Source organism: Homo sapiens, chromosome 16 (genome assembly GCF_000001405.40).
Source record: "Homo sapiens chromosome 16, GRCh38.p14 Primary Assembly".
NCBI lineage: Eukaryota > Metazoa > Chordata > Mammalia > Primates > Hominidae > Homo > Homo sapiens.
In genome coordinates, this window is record NC_000016.10 from 56229771 (window position 1) to 56243957 (window position 14187).

Below are 14187 nucleotides of genomic sequence, written 5' to 3' on the forward strand. Positions count from 1 at the left end.
GTATCTAATTCCAAAGTACCTAAAACCATGACTAAACAGAATGCAGGTACCCAGTGAGTGTCTGTGGAATGAACGAAATCCTAGCTTGTTACACTCTTAGAACTTCTCGAGCTTTTCCACCAAGTAGCTTTTGTGGAAGAAGATGGTGAGTGTGTGCCCAGGAGAGTCGAAGGGCATCGCCTGTAGCAGTCCACCTCAAGCCAGAGTTGTGTTTTTTTAACATCTGGCTTTTTATTTTAAAAATCCATGTGAATTTCTGTATTATCCTTCATATGGTGAAACAAACTCCTCCTGTTTGTTTTACAGGAAAAATGATGCTTTTGATCATTTGGTCACTTATGTTCCATAACTTTAAAAAAAAAAAATGTCAATGAAAGCTGCTGCTCTGCATGTACTGCGGGAGTGGCATGCTTCTGGCATGAATTCTGTGCACCTACGAGCTGCCCAGCCTGGTGTGCAGTGACCACAGTGGAGGCTGCTGTGGGGCCTGGTCTCTTCCATGCCCCTCAGTGGGATCTTGTGCCATTCGCCCCCTGTGCAAACACAGCTTGTCCAGAGGAAGCGGGACATTCACCTCCAAGCCCCAGCCATCTGTTGTTTCAGGCCTGGATGAGGGCTTCATCTGGGTGAATGGGCCTTCAGCAAACAGTGCCTCGCCTGGTCCCCTGATAAGGGGTTTACCTCTCCAGCAGATTTTATAGCTCTGCCCTTCATCCATAATCAGAGCGTGGGTGGGGAGAGACAGAGAGTATGAAATATCCCTGAAGCTATTGGAATAGCCTTTATGGTTTGTTGTATATAAACCTGTGTTCTGGTGTGGTATGTGAAACGGACCACTGAGACTCAGCCCACAAGACTTTGATGTCACATAGCTAAGGGCCCCTTTTCTGGTTCATGTTTCAGTGACTGGGTTTCTGAGCATCTTCTCTAATATAGGGGTCCAGACTCCAGGATTTCCATTGACTCGCGATAAGGTTTCTTCATTCTTTGTGTCTTTGCTTTCCTCTTCCTGGAAACTGAGTTCAGGCATGTCCAGAGTCATGTGTGGTTTAAAACTGAAAAGGCTCATAGAGACCATCCAGCCCTTGCATTTCTCAGATGGGGAACTGAGGCCCAGAGACAGAAAGGGAGGGTGTGCCCCGTTGTGCTCTGTCAGTCTGCAACCTCTCAGCCCGGGTCTGTGGAGTTGGTGCCCTGGGTGTCTGTCCCTGTCAGGAGACAGCTGAGGCTTTGTTCAGCATTTCTTATCTGGTTAATCCCCACCCTGTGGGTATGTCATATAGCCAGGACCCAAAGACAGGAAGAGATGAGGAGAATGAGGATGTACAAGTCCCAAAACAGGATGACACCATTACCTGGGCAGTGTGGCTTATGCTTTATGTGAAAGACTCTGTTGGTCCATGCTCAGACTCAGCCCAGCCTACTCCATGGCCAGGCCCAGACCTTGACTGGCAACTCACCTCCCAGCCCTCTGAAATCCACCGTGGGGTAGGCTCAGAGCAGACTCACCCTTACCCAAGAAAAGAACTCCATTCAGGTCTCTGCCCATATGTCACCTCTTCCAAGAGGCCTTCCATGACACCCTGTCTTAAATAGCAGTCCTCATCACTTGCCGTCTCCACGCTCTGCTTAATTCTTCATTTATTACCACCTTTCCTGTATTTGTGTGTTCATTTTTTCTTTTCCTTTTCTAGAATATATGTTCCCTGAGAGCCAGGTCCGAGTCTGTTTTGTCCCTAGCACCTAGAAGAGTACCTGGCATGTTCTCTGTGAGCGGGGATTAGAGAGAGAGTGGAACTTGGGGAACAACTGGGAGGGACTAAAAGAACTGGGAAAGTGGGAGGGACGTGGTCAAGGAAGAGAATGAGCACCCTTTTCTGAACCACTTAAATAAATCTGAATGCAGACTGTGTTTGAAAAGAGCTGCTTCAAGGGGCTCATCTGTGATTCCTTGAAAAATCACCAGGCTTGGTACTAGGCACTGGCACCTGAAGTCAGGGGTTTTTGATTCCCTGGCAGTCCAACCTGTATTTCCCAAGGGCCCTCTACTCCTCTGAGGCTCAGTATTCTCTCCACCTGGCAGGATAGGGCCCTTGGCAAGATGGAGCCTGGTCCCAGGAGAAGGTGCACCTCTGTGACGATGTCGTCCCTGTGGCCACCTGTCAGTGCTTTTCCCATCTGGTTGGCAGATCAGAGAGAGAAAGAGAATGTGGGGGCTGGAGGAGGGGGGCCCAGACCATCTGATCCATTCCCATTTATTGCAGATGGGCAAGTGGGACTGATGCCTAGAGAGGGTAAAGGACCTACCTAAGGAAACACAGCAAGGCGTTGACGGATGTCTGCTTTAAAAAAAAAAATGTTTCCTTTACTATTGCTCATCTTTTGATGCATCCTCCCTCCTGCAGCCTCTCCTACAAAAATAAAAAAAATTCCACAAAAGCTTAGCAAGGGCTTCCTAATGCTTGCTGTAACATAATTGACCCTCTTGAGCCTCGTAGCTCTGAGAAGTTCATGGATCTTCAGAAATGCGCCCAGTAAGACGAATAGTGTTTCTGTCTAGAGAGAGTGGCTCTAATGAGTCAGGCATTTCCCAGGTTCATATCCTTTGGAATTCGGTTCTGTGAGCTTTAAACTTGTGTTCTATACCTCCCCTCAGAAGAGTTGTAAGGTCAAGCAAGTGTAGAAAATGCTGCCTGCTACAAAAACTCTTGGAGAGACACAATGGACTTTAGCATATTAAAGCCTCTGAGAAGTTCTATAATTAACAAAAATCCAACAGCTCTTTTTGTGTAATTCAGTTTCCCACACTTGTTTGACCTCAGAACTCTTTTTGCATGAAAAACTATTGGCCTCTCACAGAGCTGGTCTTCCTCCAACCACAGACCCAACAGACCACTCACACAAGGGAGTACTCAGCACTTACTTTTCATTTTATACAGTTATGGCTTTTTGTTATTTCAGTATAAAATACGTTGGAAAAAAAACATGACATATAATAGGCCTCCTCAAAAGGGGTTGGGGTGAAGCGCCCTCCAACTAACTTTTTACTTCTTATAACCAGAAAGACAAAAGACAGCTTCACGAAGACATCTCTTCTTCTTTATATCCTTGTGATTCTATTTTTATTGCTCTAAGAGCCTATAGGCCATTTCCATTTTGTGAGTACAATAAAACATGCCCCTTACTCAAATGGCTTTCAAGACAGGCCGGAAGGACTTCACCATAAGGAAAATGCATCTATGACACTCCTGTAGCTTGGGAGGTGGAGTATCATTGCACTGAATGGATTTGAATCCTGCCATCACCAGGCATCATTACTTAATCTAGCTGTGTCTGTTTTCTCATCTGTAAAATGGAGTGCTCATAGTACCTGGCTAAAGTTGTTTTGAGGATTATATGAGATCTGTGTTTAACATTTAGAATGGGGTCCGATACAAAGCCGATACTTACCTGTTACTGCTATTATCATAGAATGAGAGCTCTGTGTAGGCAGTGACTTTGTTTTGTTCACTATTTACATGCCCCAGTGTCTAGAACAGGGATTAGCACATAGTAGGTGCTTAGTAAAGTTTGGTTGGATGAATAAGTGAATGAAAAAATGAATGGAAGGTCTTCTATGTATGGAGAGCAATACACGTTTCTGAGAGTCAGATTCTAGCAGAGAAGGCACCAGATTAAAAGTGAGCTGCTTGCTGTAGGCCAAGGCTTTTGCTTCCTCTGCCGTGTCCTCTCTGTGTATGAATGAGAAGCCAGCACCCATAAGGATGCAAGTCATGGTGTGGAACTCAGAAGCAGAGCGTGAGGTGATTTCCTGGAAGGTGGCAGTGTCATCTGAATGTTTCAGGCCTCAAGAATCCAAGCTTGTGGATTTCTATTCCTGGTTACTACAGGCAGGTCTGTGTCTGCCCAGCCAGAGAGTTGCCACCATTTACCCTTGGAGCCTCCCAGCGAAGATGCTGCCCATGGAGCTGCTTTTGAAGGGGGAGTGCTTCTAGCTGTCTGAGGCAGGCTGAGGGCCCCTTGGCCACCTTGACACTCTTGTTCCCCAAAGGCTCCATGCCCCCTTGTCTGTGGGTTGGCACCACATAATGACATGTTAACCCTTGGCCTGCTGATGTTGATTTTACCTTCTCTTGAGGGAATATAACCAAGGCACTGGACCAAAATAAACAGCCCAGATGCTGTGCTGACCCGGCTCTGCTGGGAAGCATGGTATTGATTTGCCCCCAGCCTCTCTACCTTCAGTAACCTCATCTCTGCCTGAGGCTCCTAAGCTGGGAGGTTGATTCACTTCTTTCCTTGGCAGTGTATTCACCCAAACACCCACACCCACTTTGTTTATATTCCTAAAGAAGCCAGCATTAGCTATTTTTAAGGACTGTGAGTGGCCCTAGGTGCCCAACCCTCCTGGTCTGGCTGTAGGCAGGAGGTGACACCCCAAGGAGAGTCTACCTGTCTCAACCTCTCTGGTGGGAAAACCCAGTAGCCACCAGCCTAGGGAATGCCAAAGGCCTAAGCAAACACTTGTGCAGCCAGCCAGCCTCATGGCCTTGGCCCTCTGGCCAGAATGCCCTTAGGCTGAGGGTACTCATGGTTGGTGGGGTGGGGCAGTTCAGACTGATCTCCAAAGAGGGGATTGACAGACATGCTCGGGGCCTGCAGCTGAATACTGTCTTTAGGGAAGTGCAGCTGGAAAGAGGGTTTAGCTGTGATTCAGCCAGGCCTGCAGTTCCTCAGCCTTGCCCATGAGGCTCTAATAGCCAGTTTAAGGAGAGCTCACTGAAAGTCTGCATGAACCCATGAACTGTTTCACAGCTGACCCAGCTTCCCAGTTCTGCAGCTTCCATTTTCCCCTGTCCCTGGGTGGTTTGCTTCTCAAATCCAGGGAGTCTTCTCCGAGGGTACAGGAGTTTTTGAGGGAGTGTGGTTCAGAATGGGACCAGCCCCTTCCCCTCTGGTTCCCCCCCAACTCCTATTCCAGTGACCACATTGGGCATGCAGGGGGCCCTTTCCAACTCAAAGATCCTCCAAGAGAAAACATTCTAGCCTTAAAAATTGAGGAAAACAGTCTACCTCTGTCCCCCTGGTCATCTGCTTGAGCCAGAGAATCTGTTTCACTTTGGGGGTGGGCAGTGTGTGGCCATCGGGAGCTACACTGGCTATTTGCTTGCCCCAGTGGCTAGTTAATGTTCAGCCACCAGCTGCCTGTGAAAATGCTGTTTATGTCTTTCTTACCCCACAGCCCCTCGGGGAGTTTAAATAAGGTGCTGCGGCACTTGAGTTCTGCAAAAGACACCTATTCGCTGACCAGACAAAGATGCTTAGCCACAACTCACAACTCTCAGGGTGCAGTTCGAAGAGGAGGAAGCAGCATGGCATATAAAGCTCATGCTCCCTTGAAGGCTGGTGATTGAGACAAGTTATGTCTTCTAGCATTTGACTCCCTCAAAGAGATTGCAGGACTTCCCTCTGATTGCAGGTGGCTCAATCCACTCAGATCACCTAGAAACTTGATAGAGATTTAGAATCTTAAAGAAGACAGAAGCTTAGACAGAGCATGTAGCCCAGCCCATCAACAGATGAAGAAGTTGAATCCTGCAGGGACTACAAGGAGGTAGGTAGAGCTAGCAGAACTGAAGGCCGGCGGGACACTACGCAGTCCAGGCAAGGGGCTCTGCTGCTGCAGCCTGTGCCTGTCTACCATTTCCCTTTGGCTCCTGGCACCTGCCTGGTCAGTTCTCCTCGACATCCCCTGAGAGCACAACCAGTCTGACAATTGTTCCTAAAGGCAGTGCTCCTAGGGGAATGCCTGCTGAGAGGGAGGCTTTCATTTAACATGGGACTTGGGTGGAAATGCGGAGTGTGTCCTATCCTCCCAGGCCTCCCTGGATAATCTGTCAGGACTGTCCTGCTGTGCAGCCAACAGCCTCTGTGTCCTTACTCTGCTGGGATCACCCAGCCCTGCCTGGGAGCTAAGAGAGTGGCCCAGCCTTGTAGGTAGCCACTTGCCCTTTGGATTAAGATGAATATGCATGATTCTGGCAGGAGATAAGATATTTATCTTATTTATTTGACATGCATGGATTTCTTGGCTCTGTGTGAAGTAGGAAGGGAAATGGAGTGGTGGAAGTTGGTAGATGGGCATTTTATGTACACGACTTGGACCTTTATCATTTGAAATTTTCACAAAGGGGGATCAAGGCTCTCCCGTTTTCACTGAGATGGTGATTCTTTGAGTCATAGCCTATTTTGACTTGGAGAAGCTGGGTACCAGGTCTCCACTCAAGTTCAGGCAGTCATTCTTGGTTTCACTTCTCAGGTAAAGAGGCATGTTCTCCCATTATTGCTTCTGAGATCTTTCCTAAAGATGATGAACTGGTTGACCTTTGCTGACAAGTCCACATTAGTCTGCTGTGGGGAGAAGAAGTGAGTGGTGTGGGCAATTCTGGCTGAAGTTTAAATTGCAGAATTGAACCTTAGATATGAGTTTCATAGTAGATGTGTTGGAGAAAAGAGAGCCTGGGTTAACTGTATCTTTTCTAGTCCCTTCACAAAACACAGGCACGCACACACATACAGAAGGAGAGAGAGACAGAGAAAGAGATCATTCAGTTTGAATCCATAGAATTGACCCTGGGAGGTAGATTAGAAGAGAGAAAGGGAAAGTGGAGGTGGCTTTCTTAGGAGCTTTAGACATTTCCAGGTATGACTTCCAGATAGGTCTGGACCTCAGTGTTCCAGGCCAACCCAGTCAAGTTCATATTGGCCAACATCAGAGAGACGAAGTACCAGTCTTAGGTCACCCTGCAAAAAAACCTGACTCCCAGTCCAGTGCCCTTTTCACTCTACTATGTTACTTCTTTCCTAGAGTGACCTTTCCAAGCTAGTCCATGGCTCACCAGAGCAAATTGGTCTCGTGGCATTATAGTTACACCAGCGCTTTGTTTCCAAACGCAGTGATCCTCTGTAATCGCCAAATACCTATGGCTTTGAGGGACTTTTGAACACAAAGGCAGACTCACCAAGAGAAAACAAAGTCTCATCACCATTTAAAGTTTTCAGATTCTGAATACATTCTGAAAATGGCAGTTAGAAGTGCTTTAGCCAAGGGCCGTGTCCCAGGAACGTGTAGGATTGTGCATTTGGATATCTGTGTCTAGCTTCATCACTTATTGCTGGGTGATCCTGGATAAGTTTACTTAATTTATCTGTGCCTCAGTAGCCTCATCTGTAAGAGTAGAATTATAATAGAACTTAGGTCATAAAATTTTTGTGAGGATTAAGTGGAATGCTGTACATGAAGTACTTAGCACATTGCTTAGCACAAAATGAGTACTCAAAAATATTTACTATCAGTATTTTATTCTTTTGTTTTCAGGTAAGTCTCTCTTATAATTGTACATGCTATCAACCAGTGCAAATTAATATGGTATCAAGAATATGAAGAATCAAAAGACTAAAGAGTAATGACATTAGCTGGTGGGGTTTATGCAGTCATTCGTTAAACAGATATTTGTTAAGCATCATCTATGTACCTGACATGGAGCTGAATATTGGAGCTGAGTAAGATAGATGTGATCTTACCTTCATGAACCCCTCCTCTTGTAGGGGAGACAGACATTTAATGAGTAACTACGGCTGTGCAGAGCAATGCCACAGGATGCCTGTATCTGAAAGAGAAAGGAGAGGAAGGAGAGAGGAGAAACCATGCGTTCTGGTGGCCACCCCACTGCTGCAACCAGAAGAACACAGCCATCTCCCTGGAAATCATTCTGATAAATTTAACTCTAGGGGAAAAACACAGCCGGTCCATTTCCAAACTGGAATTCTCCCCCCATGTGTTTTTGGGAAGCACAGATGCCTTGGCGTTTTCCCTCTAACAATAACAGAGATTGTTCACAATTATGAATGGTTTTGGTTGACTTCAGCTCCAACAAAACCATGAATCATTTCATAACTTCTGAAATTGCAAAGAAATAACAAACACTCTGGCTCCAGAAAAAAAAAATGGACACATTATGAAGCACAAAGTCGTCTAAATGAAAATGTGAATTCTTTTTTGTTTGTTTAGCAGCTGCACGTTGCAAGGCCAGCTGGCAACGGATAAAAGACCCAAGTTAGTGTCTAGGTTCCTGGGGTACCACTTGTATAGTCTCATCTGTGGGATCCGTAACCAGCTATGATATAAACTTCGTTCTCCATCTTTCTCAAAACTTTGGGCCAGCAGCATTATTTCATACATTTTACAATATTCTGAGAAAGCGAGAGTGAAAGGAGGTGCTTGGGCTGAGGCTCGTGACAGAGGGTCTCCATCATGGGTCCCATCACAGATCCCCCCCCGCCCGCCCCACACACATTTGTGGGACGACTTTTTTTCAGCAGGCCTGCTGCATCCTCCTGATATCTAGCCACAAGAGGAGGTTTTCAAAACGTGGGACCAAGAGGATCAGGCTTCCCCCAGTCTGACAGCCTCTGAGGTACCAACAAGGCCTGGCATTGGAGCAAGGTTGGCTACTCCTCTTCTCTCTTAATCCAGAAAACTGCATCCTTTCCTAAAGGCTGGAGACACACAGCTATCCTTGATTGCAGTCCAGTCTTGCCTGTGCACGTGGCCAGAGGCACAGCGGGTTCTAACACCTTGGGGCTGAGACCAGATTGGAGAGTGGGGGACAAGCACATGACCACAGCACCACAGTCACAGAGTCTTCCTCCCCACCTTGTTGACTTTCTTTTTTCATGTTAATAATGTCAACATAGTGGTGGCCATCCCACTGCTGCAAGAACATTTGTTGGAAAGATACTTCTTTTGGAAAACAGGCTCAGGGGAGCAATTGTTCCCCCTCAAGTCTGCCTGCACTCCTGATCTCTTTCCACGCTGCAGGGTACACAGCAGACAGCAGTAGACTCAGGCCCATTGGCATAGCATGTGCTTCCCACACACGCATTTTTTAAAGTAATAATTTTGTTACACAATTAATGCTTATTTCTCATAGATAATGTAGGATATACAGACTTTAAAATGGAAGAAAATAAATATAGCCTATATTTCTATTACTCAGAGCGAATCATAATTTGCGTTTGGGTATATATGTTTCTAGACTTCTTTCAATGCATGTGTATGTGTTTTTAAACAAAAGCTAGTATCAAACTGAACACATAATTTTATTGGCCCTCTTTACTCTCACTGTACACTCTGAACATTTTCCCATATCTACATATATGATTGCATATCACTTTATGCCCTGCAGACATCTCTGTAAATCTCTGGAAGATTTTTCCTTTTGTGTCCTTCTCCCTACCATCAGAGATGGAGACAATAGAAAATACACTTCAGTGTCACATCACAGACTCACATCTTGAGCACTGATGTAAGTTTTGCACTAGCCCATCACAGGCACTCTGCCTGAGACCCTTCCTGCTTTAGCTGTGATTATGAGTGCCCAGTTCATCAGCCAATTCATTGCCAAGGTAGAGCCTAGCTCTGTAAAATGCCCACAAGCTTTGGCAGCATGAAAACCATGCAAAGTTGCATTGATGCTACTCACAAGCCCCAAATAGGTGGTCTCAAAAGAGAAAAAAGACTTATGTTTTAATAAAACTCCCTTTAATAATTAGGTGCTTTAATAAAAGGCCACTTGGGTCACTGTCTGCCTCCTCAGCCTAGACTTCCTGCAGTTGGAAAAAACCTTCCAAGGACAGAGAGGGTTCTAGGGACATACTGGACAGGCCCTGTTCCCAGCCGCTGAGCCCACAGGGACTGACAAGGCACCACCCCATAAGAATGTCTGTACCCTTTTGGAGCCTACATCTGTAGGTGCTGAGGCATCACATTCTTCAGGTTCTAATGAAGAATTATTGCAGTGATGAGTTGTAGAAATAATCATTTAATGTTTATTATTCTGAGGAAAATTTAAGAATTTCTGTATTCAGAGCAGATTGACAAATATGGCAACCACTTCACATAATCCACACGCTAGATCCTTATAAATGTCATTGTTATCACTGGAGCCTCAGCTATGGTTGTCTTTCCCAAGCTGGATGAATAGGACTGCCAGTTATTCACTAAAGATAGAGACAGCACATGGCTTCTCTTAGGCCTGGTTGCTGGGCAGAGGCTATAGCATTGCCTTGGGGTAGGGGGTGCAGGTCTCAGCAACTATCCTTGAGCCCTTCAACAGGGAGTCCTGTCTCCACAAAGATGTTTATAGGTCAGGCTTTTGAGTCAGAAGAACAACTTGCAGTTGTTTTCTGGGGCCACAGGAGTTGATTGGGTAGGTGGTCTGGAAAATGAAGAAGCAGGAGGCTTCACATAACACACCCTGGATTTAGGGTGGGGACACAGCCAGCCCCAGTGTAATCTTACAATGGAGATGGGATCTCTTCCTCAGGTGTGTCTGAAAGCCACCTCAGCAGCCTCCAGGGAAGTGTCCTCTCATTGGTCTCAGCTCAGTGTGTGGAGGGCTCGGGAGTGGTTAGAGGCAGGCTCATGCAGACACCATTCCCTGGAATGTGCTTGTCTGTATGGTCATGGAAGGATTTTTTCTGCCTCCTCACATCCAAATTCAGCTTAGTAGACTGTTATTGGGCACCCGTGCTGGTGCCTTGCCTCTGGTGTCTGGCTGGGGAGGCAGTGTGAACACCAGGGACTTCACATCCCAGGGTGATAGCAGTTTTCAACCACTTTCCTAGAACTGCTTGGTTTTTGAACCATGGTGCTGTTTAATGCTTTTATTGAGTGGTGGGTCCCATATGTGTATACATTTGAGCATGTCAGTTTGACAGCATTTCTTCTCTTGTCTTGAACTTTTATCTGAGCCTCATATCAGAATCGAATTTTTCCCATTTCTCTCAACCTTTGCCAAGTCCTCCATGTAATGCCTACACAGGACCTGAAGAGGAACTCCATGGTCTGATTTGGGTTTAATTGGTTGGTCTTAGATTTCCCCTCCCTCTCCAGGCTCAGGGTGCCTCATAGCTGGGCACTTAGGGTGACAAGCTTATGAGCTATAGAGCAGGCTGGGGTGTTTATCCTCGTGCACAGTCACGAGGAGAAGGATGCTTATAAAACTAGAACAGGATGAGACTCTGTGGGATATGGTTTGATTTGCCTCAGCTCAGGAAGCCCACCCCGATGGAGAAGGAGAAGGCAGGTAGAAGCCAAGGGAATGACAGTCAAGGCCAGGATGCCTCCACAGGGAAGAGTGCTCCTTCCAGGAGGTGGCATCAGCACCGTCCAGCTCTCTCTAGGGCTCCGTACTCTCTGTGTACATGGTGGCCCAGGCTTTACTTCCTGCTTTTTGGAGTGGGACCTCGAGAACCAAGCAGTCCTGCCACTGCAGCCCAAGCGGAGCATGCAGTTCTTTGCCACAGGCCTTACAGCGCTCTGACGCTGCTCCCATGGAACTTTTCCCAACCAATTCAGAGCACTTTGAGGGCCACAGTGATGCTGGGAGCCTGTGTTGTGAGTCCCACTGCTATCCAGGGAAGGCCAGTGTGAATGAGTAGCAGTGCTGGGGAGTAAAGCATCACTTCTCAAGCCCTGTCCTCAGGCTCATGTGCAGCACTAGCGATGCAGCACTGACTGCACACAGCATGCCACTCAGTCACTGAGGAGGGGAAGTGAGCCCCTTTTAGTTCTCTTCCAGTGCTTCCCATCGAGTTGAGGAGAGTCCATTGGGCACTAGAACAGCTTAATATCCCTCTAAAGCTTGCCAATCTTTTGAAACAAATAGTCTGTTATAGGTTTGTTTGCATTGTATTTGTTTCCATGGTTATCTCCTATTTAAAGCAGGTGATACCATTTAAGGCAACAATGTAAAATTTCCTTTTTAAATAATAACAAATAATAATAATATTTGTTTGCAGTGTATAGAATTAAACTACCAAGCAAATGAAGCATAATGGTATAGGCTATGGCCAAAAATCATGAGGGTAATGGAGTGACTCAAGTTTGAGAAATGCTGAACCAGACCTGCTGCTTTCCTTATCCTGCAGTCCAGTGTCCCTTCGTGACAAGGCATTTGAGAAGGTATTTTGATTGAGTGTATGTTTATACCACTCACAAGGAGGTCCCAGTTACGAGCCTGTGGGAGCTGGGCATGAGCAGAAGCTGTGCTGCTTGCTGGCAGAAACTGGCCTGAGCTGCAATGGGAAGCTACACTGGGAAGATGAAAAGCCCTGGCCTCAGAAGCCCTGTACCTGGAAAAGGGCTAAATCCCAGGGTGGTCACTGCTAGTTAGGGGGTGCTGTGTCATTCATTCATCCCACTCTCCTGCCAGCCCAGGACAGTCTCTGGGGCACAGCAGTGATAGCAGAAATGCTAATAGCAAACATGCATTGGACTCTCACTGCATTCTGGCACTTCACCTGAGTCATTTACTTCTCATAATGCTGAAAGGTAACAGTGGTAGTGGTAGTAATAAGGGGAGGAGAAGAAGGAAGATGAAAAAAATGTTAATATTTATTGAATATTCACCCCCAAATCATTTATAGATTGAACATAATCCCTATCAAAATCCCAGGTGCCTTCTTTGTAGAAATTGACAAGCTGATTCTAAAATTCAAATGGAATTTCAAGAGATTCAGAATAGCCAAAACAATCCTGAAAGAGAAGAATAAGGTAGGACTCACACCTCCCAATTTCAAAACTTGCTACAAAGCAATGATAATCAGTACAACATGGTACTAGCAAAAGAATAGGCATCTAGATCAATGGAGTAGAATTGAGAGTCCAGGAATAAACTTATACATCTATGACCAACTGATCTTTGACAAGGATGTCAAGATCATTCAGTGAGGAAAGAATAGTGTTTTCAACAAATGGTATTGGGACAACTGGATAGCCACAGGGAAAAGAATAAATTTGGATCCTTATCTCACACCATATACAAAAATTAATTCAAAATGGATCAAAGACTTAAACAAAAGAACAAAAACTAAAACATAGGGGTAAATCTTCATGACTTTGGCAAAGCATTCTTAAATAAAACATCATAAACAACAAAAGAAAAACAATAGATAAATTAGACTTTATCAAAATTTAAAAATTGTATGCTTTAGAGCAGTGGTCCCCAACCCCTGGGCCACAGACTGGTGGGAACCCACCAGGCCATACAGCAGGAAGTGAGTAGCAGGTGAGTGAGCAAAGCTTCATCTGTATTTACAGCCGCTCCCTATCGCTCACATTACTGCCTCAGCTCTGCCTCCTGTTAGATCAGAAGGAGCATTAGATTCTTATAGGAATGGGAACGCTGTTGTGAACTGTACATGCAAGGGATCTAGGTTGCATGCTTCTTATAAGAATCTAATGCCTGATGATCTGTCACTGTCTCCCATCACCCCTAGACGGGACCATCTAGTTGCAGGAAAACAAGCTCAGGGCTCCCACTGATTCTACATTATGGTGAGTTATATAATTATTTCATTATATATAGCAATGTAATAATAATAGAAATAAAGTACACAATAAATGTAATGTACTTGAGTCATCCTGAAACCACTCCATCCCCCACAACCCCAGTCCATGGAAAATTGTCTCCCATGAAATTGGCCCCTGGTTCCAAAAAGGTTGGGGACTGCTGCTTTAGAGGATATTGTCAGTAAAGTACAAAGACAACCCACAGAGTGGGAAAAAATATTTGCAACTCATATGTCTGATCAGGGATTTGTGCCCAAAATATATAAAGAACTCTTACAACTCAATAATAAAAAAACAACCTAACTTAAAAATGGGCAAAGGATCTGAATACACACGCCTCCAAAGACAATATACAAATGACCAATAGCACATGAAAAGATGCTTGACGTTATTGGCCATCAGGGAAATGGATGGAGAAAAAAAGTAGATTACTGGTTGCCAAGGAATTGGAGGGAGCCCAGGAGGGTAGGGGGTGACAGCTAGAGGCTACAGGGTTATTTTTTTTTTAGCAGATATATGTTCCAGAATTGACTATAGTGATGGTTGTACATATCTGTGACTGTACCAAAACAAACTAAATTGTATACTCTAAATAGGCAAATTATATGATGTGTGAATTTTATCTCAGTGAAGCTGTTGAAAACATTTATTGAGCTCCAGGCACAGTTCTTAAGCATTTTACGTGCATTAACTCATTTGCGGTCACCCAGTGAGGTAGGCCCTGTTATACAAATGTCACCATTTTGCAGCTGAGGAAACTGAGGCAGAGT

The 14187-nt window shown here is 45.4% G+C and overlaps 1 protein-coding gene across 4 annotated transcripts in view; it reads left to right on the plus strand.

Moving 5' to 3' along the window:
• The window catches only part of GNAO1 (G protein subunit alpha o1), a 165956-nt gene that overhangs the window by 38282 nt on the left and 113487 nt on the right, over positions 1-14187 (plus strand). Inside the window, exon 2 of one of the 4 annotated variants that reach the window (XM_011523003.4) lies at positions 5243-5614. The exons of the other annotated variants lie outside the window; for them this stretch is intronic. Coding sequence (XP_011521305.1) covers positions 5580-5614 — 35 coding nt within the window. The 5' untranslated portion in view covers positions 5243-5579. The remainder of the gene's footprint in view (positions 1-5242; positions 5615-14187) is intronic. 4 annotated transcript variants of the gene reach the window in all.